The sequence below is a fragment of the Homo sapiens genome, chromosome 3 (assembly GCF_000001405.40).
Source record: "Homo sapiens chromosome 3, GRCh38.p14 Primary Assembly".
Classification (NCBI taxonomy): Eukaryota; Metazoa; Chordata; class Mammalia; order Primates; family Hominidae; genus Homo; species Homo sapiens.
This window is the reverse complement of record NC_000003.12, coordinates 65,447,102-65,465,549: the sequence shown is the minus strand read 5'-3', so window position 1 is coordinate 65,465,549 and position 18,448 is coordinate 65,447,102. Positions and strand designations below refer to the sequence as shown.

Here is an 18,448-nt window from a genome sequence, read left to right as displayed (position 1 = left end):
TTCTAGTGCTGAAAGAAAAGAAGAATTAACCCAAAATTCTACATCCAGTGAAAATAACCTTTAGGAATCAAGGGAAAATGAAAATATTCTTAGACGAAAGAAAACTAAGAAAATTTGCTGCCAGCAGGCCTACTCTCAATAAATGGCCAATGGATGTTCTCTAAACAAAAAGAGAATTCTAAAACAATACCAAAATTCTAAAAAAAAAAACAACCAACAAAAACAATGAGGAAAAGAGAAGAATGGAGAAAGTAAAACTATAGATAAATAAAATACTTTTCTTCATCTTTTGAGTTTTCTTTTTTCCCATTTTTATTGAGATATAATTGGCATCTCTTTAAATTTTCCAAATTAGGTTTGAGTGTTGAAGCAATAATAGTACTGTTTAATGTTTCTAAATGTGTGTAGAGAGAATATTTAAGGTAATTCATTATAAGTGAGGGAGGGTAAAAGAATATCAATGGAGATAAGGTTTATCTACTTCAGTCAAAGCGGTAAAATGATAATGCCAGTAGACTATAAGATATATAAAATATATTTATAGATTATATATATATATATATAAAATGTGTGCATATATATGTAATGTAGTACCTAAAGCAGCCACTTAAAAGCTATACAAAGGAGATATACTCAACAGTACTGTAGATATATAAAAACAGAATTCTAAAATATTCATGTAACCCACAGAAAGGCCAGAAAAATAAAACAGAGGAAAGAAAAACAGAACAAAAAGAAAATTACAAACAAAATGGAAGACTTAAGCCCTAACATATCAATAACTACATTTAATAAAGTGAACTAAATACAGCACTTTAACGATGGGGAATGGCAAAGTGAATTAAAAAGCATGACCTAATTGTGTGCTATCTATGACGCATGATTTCAAATGTAGCAATATAGGTATGTTGAAAGTAAAGGATGGAAAAATATATCTTGTAAATGTTAATCGAAAGAAGCAAGAGTTGACATATTAATGTCAGATACAGTAGGAAAATCTCCAATGAATTAGAAGCAAACTAAACAACATACTTTTAAATAATCTATGGGTCAAAGAGGAAGTCTCAAGGGAAATTAAAGATAAGCAAATAAATTGAACTGAATGAAAATGTAAATACAGCACATTAAAATAGGTGGGACACAGCCAAGGCAGTGATGAGAGGTAAATTTACAGCACTAAACATATATATGAGAAAAGAGGAAAAGTCTCAAATTAACAATCTAAACTCCCAGTGCAAGAACCTGGGAAGAGAAGAATAACTTAAGCTCAAAAAGATGGAAGGAAATAATAAAGGTAAGAGGAGAAATTGTCAAGAGCTGAAAAACAATAGATAAAAATCAATGAAAGAAATAGCTGATTCTTCAAAAGGATTAAAAAAATTGAAGAACCTCTAATAAGATTGACAAAGAAAAAAATGAGAGCAGACCAAATTGTCAATATTAGGAATTAAGTAAGGAGTCACTATGGACCCTAAAGTCATTCAAGATAATAAGAGGTGGAGATTCCTCCTCTCTGGCCAGGGCATCCCTGAAAGAGAGAAGAATAGAATAAACACAATAAAAAATGATAAAGGGGATATCACCACTGATCCTACAGAAATACAAACTACCATCAGAGAATAGTATAAATACCTCTATGCAAATAAACTAGAAAATCTAGAAGAAATGGATAAATTCCTGGACACATACACCCACCCAAGACTAAACCAGGAAGAAGTTGCATCCCTGAATAGACCAATAACAAGTTCTGAAATTGAGGCAGTAATTAATAACCTACCAACCAAAAAAAGCCCAGAACCAGATGGATTCACAGCCAAATACTACCAGAGTTATACAGAGGAGCTGGTACCATTCTTTCTGAAACTATTCCAAGCAATAGAAAAAGAGGGTCTCCACCCTAACTCTTTTTGTGAGGCCAGCATCATCCTGATACCAAAACCTGGCAGACACACACACACACACACACACACACACACACACACACACACACATTTCAGGCCAATATCCCTGATGAACATCGATGTGAAAATCCTTAATAAAATACTGGCAAACCGAATCCAGCAGCACTTTAAAAAGCTTATCCACCACGATCAAGTCAGCTTCATCCCTGGGCTGCAAGGCTGGTTCAACATATGCAAATCAATAAACATAATCCATCACATAAACAGAACCAATGACAAAAACCACATGATTATCTCAACAGTTTCAGAAAAGGCCTTCAATAATATTCAACACCCTTTCATGGTAAAAACACTCAATAAACTAGGTATTGTTGGAACATATCTCAAAATGAGAAGAGCTATTTATGACAAACCCACAGCCAATATCATACTGAATGGGCAAAAGCTGGAAGCATTCCCGTTGAAACTGGCACAAGACAAGGATACCCTCTCTTACCACCTGGAAGTTCTGGCTAGGGCAATCAGGCAAGAGAAAGAAATAAAGCATATTCAGATAGGAAGAGAGGAAGTCAAATTATCTCTGTTTGCAGATGACATGATTATATATTTAGAAAACCCCATCATCTCAGCCTAAAAACTCCTTAAGCTGGTAAACAATTTCAGGAAAGTTTCAGGCTACAAAATCAATGTGCAAAAAATCACAAGCATTCCTATACACCAATAGTAGACAAACAGAGAGCCAAATCATGAGTGAACTCCCATTCACAATGGCTACAAAGAGAATAAAATACCCAGGAATACAACTTACAAGGGATGTGAAGCAGCTCTTCAAGGAGAACTACGCACCACTGCTCAAGGAGATAAGAGAGGACACAAATAAATGGAAAAACATTCCATGCTCATGGATAGGAAGAATTAATATTGTGAAAATGGCCATACTGCCCAAAGTAATTTATAGATTCAATGCTATCCCCATCAAGCTACCATTGACTTTCTTCACAGAATTAGAAAAAACTACTTTAAATTTCATATAGAACCAGAAAAAGAGCATGTAGCCAAGACAATCCTAAGCAAAAAGAACAAAGCTGGAGGCATCATGCTATCTGACTTTAAACTATACTACAAGGCTACAGTAACCGAAACAGCATAGTATCAGTAGCAAAACAGATATATAGACCAATGGAACAGAACAGAGGCCTCAGAAATAACACCACATATCTACAACCATATGATCTTTGACAAACCTGACAAAAACAAGCAATGGGGAAAGGATTCCCTATTTAATAAATGGTGTTGGAAAAACTGGCTAGCCATATGCAGAAAACTGAAACTGGATCTCTTACTTACACCTTATACAAAAATTAACTCAAGATGGATTAAAGACTTAAACATAAGACCTAAAACCATAAAAACCCTAGAAGAAAATCTAGGCAATACCTTTCCGGACATAGGCATGGGCAAAGACTTCATGACTAAAACACCAAAAGCAATGGCAACAAAAGCCAAAATTGACAAATGGGATCTAGTTAAGCTAAAGAGCTTCTGCACAGCAAAAGAAACTATCATCATAGTGAATGGGCAACCTACAGAATGGGAGAACATGTTTGGAATCTATCCATTCAAAGGGCTAACATCCAGCATCTACAAGGAACTTAAACAAATTTACAAGAAAAAAACAACCCTATCAAAAAGTGGGCAAAGGATATGAACAGACACTTTTCAAAAGAAGACATTTATGTGGCCAACAAATATGTGAAAAAAAGCTCATCATCACTAGTCATTAGAGGAATGCAAATCAAAACCACAATGAGATACCATCTCATGCCAGTTAGAATGGCAATCATTAAAAAGTCAAGAAACAGGCTGGACGTGGTGGCTCACGCCTGTATTCCCAGTACTTTGGGAGGCTGAGGCAGGTGGATCATGAGGTCAGGAGATCGAGACCATCCTGGCTAATACGGTGAAACCCCATCTGTACTAAAAATACAGAAAATTAGCCAGGCGTGGTGGCGGGCGCCTGTAGTCCCAGCTACTCGGGAGGCTGAGGCAGGAGAATGGCGTGAACCCGGGAGGCGGAGCTTGCAGTGAGCCAAGATCACGCCACCACTCTCCAGCCTGGGCGACAGAGTGAGACTCTGTCTTAAAAAAAAAAAAAAAAAAAGTCAAGAAACATTGGGAGGCCAAGATGGGCGGATCATGAGGTCAGGAGATCGAGACCATCCTGCCTAACGTGGTGAAACACCATCTCTACTAAAAATACAAAAAACTAGGCGGGTGTATTGGCACGAGCCTATAGTTCCAGCTACTCAGGAGACTGAGGCAGGAGAATTGCTTGAACCTGGGAGGTGGAGGTTGCAGTGAGCCGAGATCGTGTCACTGCACACCAGCCTGGGCGACAGAGCAAGACTCCATCGCAAAAAATAAATAAATAAATAAATAAAAAGTCAAGAAACAACAGATGCCAGAGAGATGCTTTTACACTGTTGGTGGGAGTGTAAATTAGTTCAACCATTGTGGAAGACGGTGTGGCAATTCCTCCAGGATATACAACTAGAAATACCATTTGACCCAGCAATTCCATTACTGGGTATATACCCAAAGGATTATAAATCATTCTACTATAAATATACATGCACACGTATGTTTATTGCAGCCCTATTCACAATAGCAAAGACTTGGAACCAACCCAAATGCCCATCAATGATAGACTGGATAAAGAAAATGTGGCACATATATACCATGTAATACTATGCAGCCATAAGAAAGAATGAGTTCATGTCCTTTGCAGGGACATGGATGAAGCTGGAAACCCTCATTCTCAGCAAACTAATATAGGAACAGAAAACCAAACACCCCATGTTCTCACTTATAAGTGGGAGTTGAACAATGAGGACATATGGGCACAGGGAGGGGAACATCACACACTAGGGGACCTGTTGGAGGGTGGTGGGTAAGGGGAGGCACAGCATTAGGAGTAATACCTAATGTAGATGACAGGTTGATGGGTGCAGCAAACCACCATGGCACATGTATACCTGTGTAACAAATCTGCATGTTCTGCACATGTATCCCTGAACTTAAGTATAATTTTTTTAAAAAAGAAGAAGAAATAAGTAATGCAAGTAGTATTCCCAGGCTTAAATGAGGAGTCACTCATCACAAAAAAAAAAGATAATGAGGGATGAATTTGTATATTTAAGAACTCCTGAAAAAGGAATATTGAACTATTACACTATTTCTACATAATGTCTTCCAGAAAATAAAAGAGGAAGAACACTCTACAGTTATTTTTATGAAGCTAATATTACCTTGATAACAAAACTAAACACAGTACAAAAAAGGCATAAATGCAAAAATCTTTAACAAAATTTAGTAAGTAGTAATCAGCAATTTCCCATGATCAAGTGGGAATTGTTCTAGTGCTTCAAGGCTTTCTCAGTATTCAAATAAATCAATCAGTGTAACCCACCATGTTAACAGGCTAAAGAATCAATGCTCATATGAATCGATGCAGAAAAAGCATTTGACAAAATTCAGCAGTCTTCACATGGGAAAATAGGAATTAAGGGAAATTTCTTTGACTTGTTAAAGAGCATCTACAGAAAACCAATGACCAACGTTATACTTAATAGTGAAAAGATGAAATGCCTTCCCTGCAAGTGTGAAAACAAGCCAAGGATGTCAGTTGTCCCCACTCTTTTTTCTTTTTTTCTTTTTTTTCTTGAGACAGGGTCTCACTCCTGTTGCCCATGTTGGAGTGCAGTGGTGTTAACGCAGCTCACTGCAGTCTTAACTTCTCTGAGCTCAGGTGATTCTCCCACCTCAGCCTCCCAAGTAGCTGGGACTACAGGTACATGCCACTACACCCAGCTAATTTTTTGTAGTTTTTATAGAGACAGGGTTTTTCTGTGTTGCCCAGGCTGGTCTCCAACTCCTGGGCTCAAGAAATCTACCTGCCTCAGCCACCCAAAGTGCTGAGCTGTTCCCGTGGTTATTCAACATCATGCTGGAATTTCTAGCCAGGGTTATAGTTCAAGATAAAGAAGTAAAAGCCATACAGATTGAAAAGGAAGAAATAAAACTACTCCTGTTTGCAGATTATATGGTTATCTTAGTAGAAAATCATGAGAAACGTACAAAGAAAATTTTATAATAAGCGAGTTCAGCAAGGTTGCAAGATAAAAGATAAGCATATAAATAGCAGTTGTATTCCGTGTTCATGGATTGGAAGAATCAATATTGTTAAAATGTCCATACTACTCAAAGAAGTCTACACATTCAATGCAATCCCTATCAATATACCAAAGATATTCCTCACAGAAATATAAAAAACAATTCTAAAATTTATATGGAACCACGAAAGACCCAGAATAGCCAAATATATCCTGAGTCAAAGAATAAAACTGGAGGAAGTACATTACCTGACTTCAAATAATAGTACAGAGATGTAGTAACCAAAGCAGCACAGTACTGGCATAAAAGCAGACACATAGACCAATGGAACAGAATAGAGAACCAGAAACAAATCCATACATCTACGGTGAACTCATTTTAGACAAAGGTGCCAAGCACACACATTGGGGAAAGGATGGTCTCTTCAATAAATGGTGTTGGGAAAACTGGATATCCATATACAGATGAATGAAACTATCCCATATCTCTCTCCATATACTAAAGTCAAATCAAAATGGATTAAAGGCTTTAGTCTAAGACCTCCAACTATGAAACTACCGAAACAAAACATTGAGGAAGCTCTCCAGGACATGAGAGTGGGCAAAGATTTCTTGAGTAATACCCCATAAGCACAGGCAACCAAAGCAAAATGGACAAATGGGATCACATCAAGTTAAAAAGCTTCTGCACAGAAAAGGAAACAAAGTGAGGAGACAACCCACAGAATGGGAGAAAATATTTGCAAACTGTCCATCTGACAAGGGATTAATAACGAGAATATATATAGGGAGCTCAAGCAACTCTATGGAAAAATCTAGTAGTCTGATTGAAAAATGGGGGAAAGATCTGAGTGGACATTTCTCAAAAGAAGACTCCAGATGGCAGACAGATATGTGAAAAGGTGCTCAACATCACTGATCATCAGAGAAATGCAAATCAAAGCTACAATGAGTTATCTTACCCCAGTTAAAATGGGTTTTATCCAAAAGACAGGCAATAACAAATGCTGGCGAGGATGTGGAGAAAAGGAAACCTTCTCACACTGTTATTGGGAATGTAAATTAGTATAATCACTATGGGAAACGGTTTGGGGGTTCCTCCAAAAAAAAAAAACAAACAAACAGAAAAACTAAAAATAGAGCTATCACATGATCCAGCTAGGTATGTACCCATACCTAAAGGAAATCAGTATATTGAAGAGATACCTGCACTCCCATGTTTATTGCAGGACTATTCGCCATAGTCATGATTTGGAAACAACCTGAATGTTCATCAACAGATAAATGGATAAAGAAAGTGGAGTCCATATACCCAATGAAGTACTGTTCTGCCATAAAAAAGAATGAGAACTAGTCATTTGCGACAACCTTTGTGGAACTGGAGGTCATTATGTTAAGTGAAATAAGCCAGGCACTGAAAGGCAAGCTTCACATGTTCTCACTTATTTGTGGAACTAAAAATTAAAGCAATTGAACCCATGGAGGTAGAGTAGAATGATGGTTACCAGAGGCTGGGAAGGGTGGTGGAGTGGTGGTAAGGGGAAGTGGAGATGGTTAATGGCTACAAAAAAATAGAAAGAATGAATAAGATTTAGTATTTGATAGCACAGCAGGGTGACTGTAGTCAATAATAATGTAATTGTACATTTAAAAATAATTAAATGAATATAATTGAATTGTTTGTAACATAGAATAAATGCTTGAGGGAGATGGTCACTTCATTTACCCTGATGTGATCATTACACATTGTATGTCTGTATCGAAGTATCTTCTACACCTCATAAATATGTGCACCTACCATGTACCCACAAAAATTTAAAATTTAATAAATAGCAAGTGTATATCTATATACTAGAATACTTGGTTACCAAAATCAAAAATAAAATATAATTTAAGGTTGCTCAAAAAAATAATACAGGTGTCAATCTAACAAACCATATATTGGATCTTATATACTGTAAACTATAAAATGCTAATGAAAGAGGTCAAAGAAGTTCCTTATAAATGGAGAGATATACTTAAACATGTACATGAATTTTTATAGTAAATTTGTCCAAATAGCCAAAAACTAGAAATGATCCAGATGTCTTTGAGTGGTTAGACAGGCTGTGTGATACATTAATTTCATGGAATACTACTCAGCAATAGAAGAAATTGATTATTGATATATACAGCAATCTTGATGAGAATTATGCTGAGGGGAAAAGCCAATCATAAAGTATTACATACAATGATTCCATTTATATAACATTCTTTTTAAAATTATTTTTATTTTTATTTTATTTTGAGACAATGTCTCGTGGACATACAGGAAGACTCAGAATTGATAGAGATGTCAGTGCTCCCCAAATGGATATACAGGTTTAATGTAATTTCTGTCAAAATCTCAGTCTTTTTGTAGATACAGACAAGTTTATTCTAAAATATAAATGGAAAGGCAAAGGAAAGAGAATAGCTAAAACAATTACAAAAAGGAAGAATGAAGTCATAGTAATTAGTCTGCTTGATATCAAATGTACTAATTTACATATTGTGACTTTATTATATAGTCACAATAATAAAGACTGTGTGTTATTGGTGAAGGAATAGACTCATAACCTAATGGGACAGAAGGCAGAACCAGAGATAGATCCATAAGTGTGCCCAACTGATTTTTTACAAAAGCAATTCAATTTGAAAGCATTCCAATGGAGGGCAGATAGCCTTTTCAGTAAATGGTCCAAGAGCAAGTGGACGACCAGAGGCATGTAAGCTAACCTCCACCTAAACCCCACACTTCATACCAAAAAATTAACCCCAAATAATTCAGACTCTGAAATGTAAAACATAAAACAATAAAACTTTTAGGGAACCAAAAAACCAGAAAATTTTTGAAATACAGGGCTAGGCAAAGAGACATCAAAAGCAAGATCCCTGAGAAAGAAAAAATGATAAATTTGACATCATTAAAATGAAAATTTTTTGATTTGTGGAAGAGTCTGATAGAGGATGAAAGGACAAACTACAGAGAAAATGTTTACAGACTCCACACCTAAAAAAGGACTGGTATGTAGAATATACAAAGGACTCTCAAAACTCCGGAGTGAAAAAAAAAAAATATCAAACCATTCATTGAGAATGTGAACTAAAGAGAGGGACAGAGGGACAGACATTTCACTGAAAAGGGTATATAGATGGAAGATATGCACATGAAATATTAGTTCAGCCCTAGGGAAAAAATTAGTTAGCTCTAGGGAAATGGAAATGAAAACCACAATGAGATGTCATTTGCTTATTAAGATGGCTAAAGTAAAAAATAGTGACAACACTAAGTGATGGTAAAAATTCAGTGAAACTGGATCTCTCATCCATTGCTGGTGGGATTGTCTGGCATTCTAGAAAACAGTTCCTAAGAAACTAAGCATGCAGCTCATACCATTTGGCAACGACACACGTGATCATTTATCCCAGAGAAGTGAACACTTAAATTCACACAAAAACATGTACATGAATGTTTATAACAAATTTGTCCAAATAGCCAAAAACTAGAAATGATCCAGATGTCTTTGAGTGGTTAGACAGGCTGTGATACATTCATTCCATGGAATACTACTCAGCAATGAAAAGAATTGATTATTGATATATACAACAATCTTGATGAGAATTATGCTGAGGGGAAAAGCCAGTCATAAAGTAAGACATACAATGATTCCATTTACATAACATTCTTTTTAAAATTATTTTTATTTTTATTTTATTTTGAGACAGCATCTCACTCTGTCGCCCAGGCTAGAGTACAGTGGCACAGTCTCTGCTCACTGCAACCTCTGCCTCCTGGGCTCAGGTGATCCTGCTACCTCAGCCTCTCCAGTAGCTAGGACCACAGGTGCGCACCACCACACCTGGCTAGTGTGTGCCACCACACCTGGCTAATTTTTTTGTATTTTTTTGTAGAGATGGCATTTCACCACATTGTCCAGGCTGGTTTTGAACTCCTGAGCTCAAGCAATCCACCTGGCTTGACATTCCAAAGTGCTGGAGTTACAGGCATGTACCACCCCGCCCAGCGCTATATAACCTTCTTGAAATGACAAAATTATAGAAATAGAGGACAGATTCGTAGTTACCAGGGATTAAGAAGAGGGTTGGGGGGAATGGTTGGAAGGTAACCAGTTGTGACTATAAAAGAGCAACGTGAGGGACCCCTGTGATGATGAAAATGTTTTGTATGTTGACTGTGTCAGTATCAGTATCCTAGTTGTCACGGTATACTATAGTTTTGCAGGATGTTATTATTGATGGGTTCTAGGTAAAGGGTGTGTGGGATCTCTCTTCTTTCTTTTAACTGAATGTGAATCTACAGTTATTTTTGTTTTAAACACAGTTTTTTTCTTAATCCTGCATAATCTCCTCTCCTAACAATGATCCTTGTTATTATCTTACTGTGTAGGAGTAGTGCAGACTGTGGATTCTAGTGCAAAACTTTCTGGGTTTAATTCCCAGTTCTGTGATGTCTCAGCAGGGTGTCCTTAGACAAATTGCTTTACCTTTCTATTATCAGTTTTCTCATTTGTAATATGGGGAGCAATAATTTTAATGCTAATAATACTTCTCTCATAGGGTTATTGTAAGAACAGATTCTGGCAGTCATACGTGGTGGTGATGGTGGTGGTTGCTATATTACCTTTTGTTATTTTTATTTTAACACAGTTGATATGACGTGTATACATTCGCAGATTCTGTTTTTCTCTTAAGCCATATGTTTTTTTTTTTGACAATTAATAAGATTTGAATCAAAAATAAAAAACTTTGGCAAACCCTCTTCCCTGCCAACTCCCAAATTTACAACCGAAATGTCACAGTTCAAAAAAAGTTTTAAGTTACTGCCTGAACTTAATTTTTAAAAAAACTTCTTTTTTTTTTGTAAAACAAGTATTTTTTTATTATTATTATTATTATTATTATTATTATACTTTCAGTTTTAGGGTACATGTGCACAATGTGCAGGTTAGTTACATATGTATACATGTGCCATGCTGGTGCGCTGCACCCACTAACTTGTCATCTAGCATTAGGAATATCTCCCAATGCTATCCCTCTCCCCTCCCCCAACCCCACAACAGTCCCCAGAGTGTGATGTTCCCCTTCCTGTGTCCATGTGTTCTCATTGTTCAGTTCCCACCTATGAGTGAGAATATGCGGTGTTTGGTTTTTTGTTCTTGCAATAGTTTACTGAGAATGATGATTTCCAATTTGTTTTCATGTCTAGTTTGTAGCCAGAACTACTGGACTGGAGTTGTTTGCCCCACCCACTTAGCTGCATGGTGCCCTGGGGGCTCAAGCAGAACTTTGTCCCAGCCACTGCTTTGGGAAGCACAAAAGCTGAATGCTTCCAACCATTCTGGTGACATTTCTAATATGATTGAATGGCGATATCTTTGGGAATGTGTCTCTACACTTTCAAATCTGCAGGGCCCCAGTCACCATCTGTTGAAATACTTCATCTAGAATTGAACTTTATCCCTTAAAAGGCAGTTGAGTGACATGTTTAGCCTCTCCAAGCTTATCCTTGGTCCAGATTCTATTTATGACGAGTAATTTGGGGCTGCCTTCATTATGTCCAAAGCATAATTTAGGACATTGTGATTTAATGATGTGTATTGGTAGTTTTGAGTCATTTATGTGAATTAAGGTAGTTTCATGCTGTCATGAGAATTCTTATGTAATATAATGAATGAAATAGCAGCCCTCTTTGTGAGTTTCAGCATCCAAGACTCAAGTCATAGATATACTTAAAATAAATGGAAGTTTTCTCTGTGGCAAATGCAAAGCCTAAAATAATCTAGACAAGGGTAGATGGTATACGCAAGGGGTATCATTTGTAACTTATTTTTCAAAAATAAAACTGGTATTATTTTTTAAGCTTTCAGTAATTGAATAATCATATGTTAGGTAAGTAAAAAGCCTACCTAAGACCCTCCCCAAGCCATTTTATAATTGTAAACTCAGGCTCTCTTCTGGTTTGGATTTGCTGTTGGAAAGCATCTTTGTTGTAGTTAAGGAAGAAATATTCAAGAGTGTGTAATTCCGTCATTGGGCTTCTTGCTTTTTTTTTTTTTTTTCAAACAAATTTCTTATTTTTGTTTCTGGATTGCAGCCATAACACGAAAACAACATCTTGGTTAGACCCTCGGTGCCTAAACAAGCAGCAGAAGCCACTGGAAGAGTGTGAAGATGATGGTAAGGGGCCAGGCAGGTCTTGGGTTAAGTGAATTGGGGGCACTGTTCACATGTGCAAATTTTAAAGAGTCGTAGCCAGGTCAGTCGGGTCTTATGTTGAGTTTTTAAAAGGTAATCCAATTTCTGCTAAATGGACTGTGGTTTACAAAAGCAGGAAGAAAGTCAGAGTTGTTTCAAGAGAAGAATTTGTTTACACATAAAGACAGATGCTTACTAATATCTCCATTAGAAGCAGAACAGTCAGAAACTGTTCAAATGAAGATACGTCCTCTGTCTTCAGGAACTTAGAGTAAATTCTAGAAAGTCTCTAGGAATAAAGAAACCAAAGACGGTCTGGTCAGTCACACATTCTCAGGTTTAACCCTATCTTATAAAAGTCTTAGGGGGAAAAGTTGGGAGTTTTTCTTGAACTGTACATATTTCACATACTTCCCTAGTCTTGGAGGTAGGGGAAACAGATCTAGACATGTTTGAGAATCTCTGTGTAACTTAGAGTATACCCACAATATGTAGTAAGTGTATTCTTTTGAGACAGAGGTTGAGGTGTTACCTAGAGCACCACTCTCCCTGTTAATCTTGGAAATGAACTAACTGGCTGTAAGAGCTTTTGTTGAAAAAGTTCATTTCAAGGCTTTGGGTTTTCTAATTACTTCTCCAAAATGAAAAAAAAAAAAAATTGAAACAGAGCTAGTGTGTCCCTTTTCAGTACACCAACGTCTATCCCAAGTTCTACCAAAATTATTTTTTGATGTGGAAGAATGAAAAGGGAAATGGTTTGCTTCGCTCTGCTTTGCTACTCATTATTCAATTCTGGCATGTGAATTAGTAGTATAATTATTAAATATGTATTTTACTGTAAGATAACAGAACTTTATTATTCGTCCTATAGTGCAGAATGGTTGTATATATAAACTTGAAGATTTTTTGAAAATGCAAGGCAGTATTTTATAGTATAATACTGTGAAAACCTTGCACTCCATGATCCTTCTATTATACATGGTTTGCAGATTACGTTAAATGACATAGACTATTGTGTTGGTATTTATCTGAGTTACTTCAAATGGAAACAAAAGTCCTTCTAACTTAGGAGGCATGACCAAGATGTTTGTTTTATCTTGGTTGCTTTGTTTTATCTTGGTTGCTTTGTTTGATTCCTGAAGAAGGAATAGAACAGGTTCATTCAGCTCTGGTATTTTGCATGCTTGGGAGATAATAGACTATACTGATTATTTCAGTATTCTGTTTAACATGTAATACTGGTTAAGTATCCCTGATCCCAAAATTTGAAGTCCAAAATGCTCCAAAACTGGCCAGGCATGGTGTGGCTCATACCTGTAATCTCAGCACTTTGGGAGGCTGAGGCAGGAGGATCACTTGAGCCAAGGAGTTCAAGACCAGCCTGGGCAATGTAGTGAGACCTTGACTCTACAAATAATAAAACAAAAATTAGCTAGGCGTGTTGGCATGCGCCTGTGGTCCCAGCTACTTGGGAGGCTGAGGCAGAAGGATCACCTGAGCCCAAGAGTAGGAGGCTGCAGAGAGCTGTGATTGTGCCACTACATTCCAGCCTTGGTGACAGAGAGAGACCCTGTCTTAAAAGAAACAAACAAAGCAACAACAGGCTCCAAAATCCAAAACTTTCTGAGTGTCACCATGATGCTCAGAGGAAATGTTCACTGGAGCATTTTGGATCTTGGATTTTCGGATTAGGAATGCTGAGCCAGTAAGTATATTACACAAGTATCTCCAATCTGAAAATATGCAAAATCTGAAACCCTTTTGATTCTAACCATTTTGGATAATGACTACTCAACCTGAACATAAATAACCAGTTTTCAAAGATCATAGCATAAAACACATTCAACCCTAAAATTTCATGGAACAATAATCATTATTTGATGCCTTATGATTTTGAAAGCAATTTAGGCACTTATTACCATAGGGTCTTCAATGTCAATATCCCTTTTGTAATTATTCTGGGAATGTATGAAAATGCTTGTTAATACAATATTATAAGTGATAGAATACTGCAATAGCTTTTACTGAGAAAAACTGTACATAGAGTGAAAGTATTGAATGGAATTGGCATTTTTGTTACCAAATCTAGTAATTTTTAATTCTTAAAATTCTTATCTTTTTGTGTTAATGTTATTTCCTTTGGAACAAGAATGTATTCATACCAAATGCAGTTAGTTTATAATTATCTCTTTAATATTAGAATTCATATATTCTGTTTCTAGTAGAAATTCTATGTATATCTGTGTGCCTGTACACACAAACAGTATAAATATATAATCAGATTATGGTAAGTATCAGTTTGCATTTTCTGTTGCCAGTTAACGCAAAGCTGCCTTGTTATTATTTATAACACAAAGCAGAAAAACATATTGGTTGCAAATATTGTCCCTGTATTTCTTTCTGTTCTCTGTAGGTCATACATATGAGGTGTAACAGTATAGCATCATACTTAATTATTATAAAGATTTAATATGTTCTATTTCCTATCTCAGAAAATCGAGAAACTGGTTTGAGATTTTGATGTTAGTGAATGACTCCTTCTGTCACTGCTGTGTCCAGTTCAGTTAGAAGCCCTCAGTGTTGCCTTTGAACTCCAGACCAATATTGTAATCCATGTGATTGATAATGTCAACGATTGTCTCAAAGATACTTCGACTTAGTCGTATTAAAACCATTAAAACTGATGATCTTTCCCCCCAAATTACGTAATATACAAAGTGTTTCCTGTCTCCATTCATGGTAAATTTATGCATACTCAAAATTCCCCCTTGATATGTCACTTTTCTTCACACCTATTTCTAACCCGTGAACCAGCTGAATTCAGTTGGCATCCTAAATATCTCTTGGATCCATTCACTATTTTTTTCACCGCATCTTCCATTCTCATCTGGGATCATGCTCATCTCCCATACAGACTCTTTTCACTCTCCTTTTTATGTTGTACTCGGAGAAATCTTTTAAAATGTAAATGTGATGATGTTATCGCTGACAACCTCCACAGGGTCTGCTTAGGAAATGCCAGGTCCATAGCTTGCTACTCTGAGCCCTGTGTGGTCAGCCTCTCTAGGTTTTCTCACACTATTTCTCTGCTCTCTGCTCTTCATCCCCACTAGTCCTCATTGAGTTCCTGCCTCATGTCAGTTAAATGTGCATTTCTCTCTTAGAATACGCTTACATTTCACTATACTCTTATATTTCACAATAGTTATTGAATAATTTCTGTATGTCACGTGCATCCTAGGTATTCGAATGTGTCAATGAATACAACAGACATTAAACTTTGCATATCCTTCAGGTTATACTTCAGGGAATTTTTCCATGACTTTGCCCCCAAAAATATGATTAGGTCACTCATGTATCTTACTCTGTTGAGAACTTATCATGGTTTTAATTTTAGTTTTATTTGTGTGAGCCTTGGATTTGTCTCCTGTTCTGGAAAAGTAGAGATGTCTGATTCTGTTTTTTGAGATGGAGTCTCGCCCTGTTACCCAGGCTGGAGTGTGGTGGCATGATCTCTGCTCACTGCAACCTTTGCCTCCCTGTTCAAGCGATTCTCCTGCCTCAGCCTCCCGAGTGGCTGGGATTACAGGTGAGCGCCACCTGCCTGACTAATTTTTTTGTATTTTTAATAGAGTCGGGGTTTCACCATGTTGGCCAGGCTGGTCTCGAACTCCCAACCTCAGGTGATCCACCCACTTTGGCCTCCCAAAGTGCTAGGATTACAGGCATGAGACACCACGCCTGGCCCCTGATTGTGTTCATTTTGATATGTCACCTAGCACAGTGACTGGCACATCATAGGTCTTGATAAATAACTACTGAAGAAGTGAACAAATGCTCCCAAAGACATTAGATAATATCCAAATGGGCATTTTCACAGATGACTTTGTGTAAATTAGATTCTCCTTTTAAGAAACGGTGCCAATCAAAACTTACCGCTGGCAGTGGGATCATTTTTTTATTATTATTATACTTTAAGTTCTAGGGTATATATGCACAACGTGCAGGTTTGTTACATATGTATACATGTGCCATGTTGGTGTGCTGCATCCATTAACTCGTCATTTACATTAGGTATTTCTCCTAATGCTATCCCTCCTCCCTCCCCCCACCCCACAACAAATCAAGAGTTTACAAGGTGTCTAGGCCCATGTTGGTTATTTAAGTCAATCATTGATTGATTGGTTCATTCATTCATTCATCAAGAAATATTTAGTACCTAACATGTGCAGAAGGCTACACTGGGCACTGAGCGTATTGTGGTACTGAAAACAGGCTCAATTCCTGTGTTTGTGAAGCTTATAGGAGCCACTTGCCCTGACCCTGGGGAAACATTATGTATGAAATGATTTTTGTGTGTTCTCCCATGTTTTCTTCTCAACAATAAGAAAATGTTGTACTGACAGCAAGAGGACGAGGTCAAGAACAGAAAGGATTTGGACTTGTTTTGCTCCCTGAAATTTTTGAGGACATTTTAATTCTAATATTTCTGAGCTCCTTGACTTAGAAAGTGTGTGTGTGTGTGTGTGTGTGTGTGTGTGTATGTGTTTTCTCACAAAACCAGTTAAATGCCTCCCAACACTCCTTCAGGGCAGTTTTCAAGGCTTTCTTCTTTGATATATTTTATCTTGACGTAATTCATCTTTCCAGCTCCTTTTTGAAAGACATCAAAGTTAGCTCATTATACAGTCTGCACTTTCAATTTGACCTCACCTTCCATTTTTCAAGCAGCACTGTTACTTGTAAGTTAAATAATGCTTTAATTGTGAGTATAATTGCCTCACTGATTAGAGGATTATTGAAGGATTAAAAGGACTGATAATGAAAGGTCTAACAGCTTTGTTTACTCCCAATAAGGTCTGTAATAAGTGACTTCCCACTTAAGAACATTGAAACCGCAAAGGTATTTGTCATCTTTTACAACCAATCAAATCCTATTTTGACATGCAAGGAAATGAGCCATGTAATTATTTTGCCAATATCAGCTCTTCCCGTTTTGTGATTTACACTGAGGTCGCAAGTTTACTATCCAAGCCAATGAAATAAGCCACAATGCAGGTAAGGATGAACTAGAGTGATGTGTTTGCTGCTGTTTTCCTGAGGAGATTTCCTTTCTTGGTGCTGGTGTCTGAATTTTGCTTTCTCTCTTTTCTGTCTCATTCCTGCTATTCCTTTGGAGAAGAAGGGGTACACACCGAGGAGCTGGACAGTGAACTAGGTAAACCCTCCCTGCCTGCTGCTGCTGCATGACACGTGCATGACATGGCCTGCATGGTTTTCTTCCCCAGTGAATTGCTTAATCCCTGTTTCTTTAGTTTGCACTCCTCCAATTATGATTTTCATTCTAGCTTATCCAGGAAAGGTCAGTCTTACAACCTGCGTGTCTGCCTGCAGGCATCACGCGGAGTTGTAGTACATTATGTTTACAAAGAAAATGTCTGACTGAACAGAGACTAGAACGAGAGTTAGCAAATTGGTAATGGGTAGTCTTGTAAAGTGAGGATTGGGAAAGAACCGAAGAGATGCTCGCTGTGTCCCTTGAACTTTGGCATAACCTGTCTCAGTCTTATTTCTTTATTTGTTTAGTACGGATGGTTATTTGGGTAATACAAAAAAGCCAAGCAGGACAAACAAAAATCAATTAAGACTAGTTTAAGGAACATTATAGGAGCACTTGCAATAAAAGAAGGTCACTGAGGAATTGAATAGTTAAGTCTTAGGATTGTGTTGTTATTACGTCCCAGACCACGTGTTGTTGACCTTGCCATTGTAGTGAGTGGTTGTTTATATAGTGATGCAGCATCTGTATGTACTGTTTGCCTTAGAGTTGTGTCAATGCAAATCAAGTCTTGACTACTCTAGTTATTGTTGTTTAGGAATAATTTATACTAGCAGATGATGCCAAATTCTTGTTTCTTTGCTATTGGAATATATTGAATTACGTTTGCTATTACGTTCAGTCCTTTATGTTCAACCTTGAACAACATTAAAATTAGTTTGCATTCCGTCTGATACATTTGCTGATGGATACATAGGAAAGCATAAGTTTCAGCTAAATTGCTGATGAAAGCCTCGGCTGATGGAAGATTCTTTAGCAATTGAAGATTGTTTAAGTAGAAGATTGTTTAACATCAGTAT

At 37.0% G+C, this 18,448-nt stretch overlaps 1 protein-coding gene across 6 annotated transcripts in view; it reads left to right on the top strand.

Moving 5' to 3' along the window:
* MAGI1 (membrane associated guanylate kinase, WW and PDZ domain containing 1) overlaps positions 1–18,448 on the top strand; it is a 685,393-nt gene that overhangs the window by 573,369 nt on the left and 93,576 nt on the right. For all 6 annotated transcript variants that reach the window (NM_001033057.2, NM_015520.2, NM_001365904.2 and 3 more), the window contains exons 6-7: positions 12,210–12,292; positions 17,493–17,528. In NM_001033057.2, coding sequence (NP_001028229.1) covers positions 12,210–12,292; positions 17,493–17,528 — 119 coding nt within the window. The remainder of the gene's footprint in view (positions 1–12,209; positions 12,293–17,492; positions 17,529–18,448) is intronic.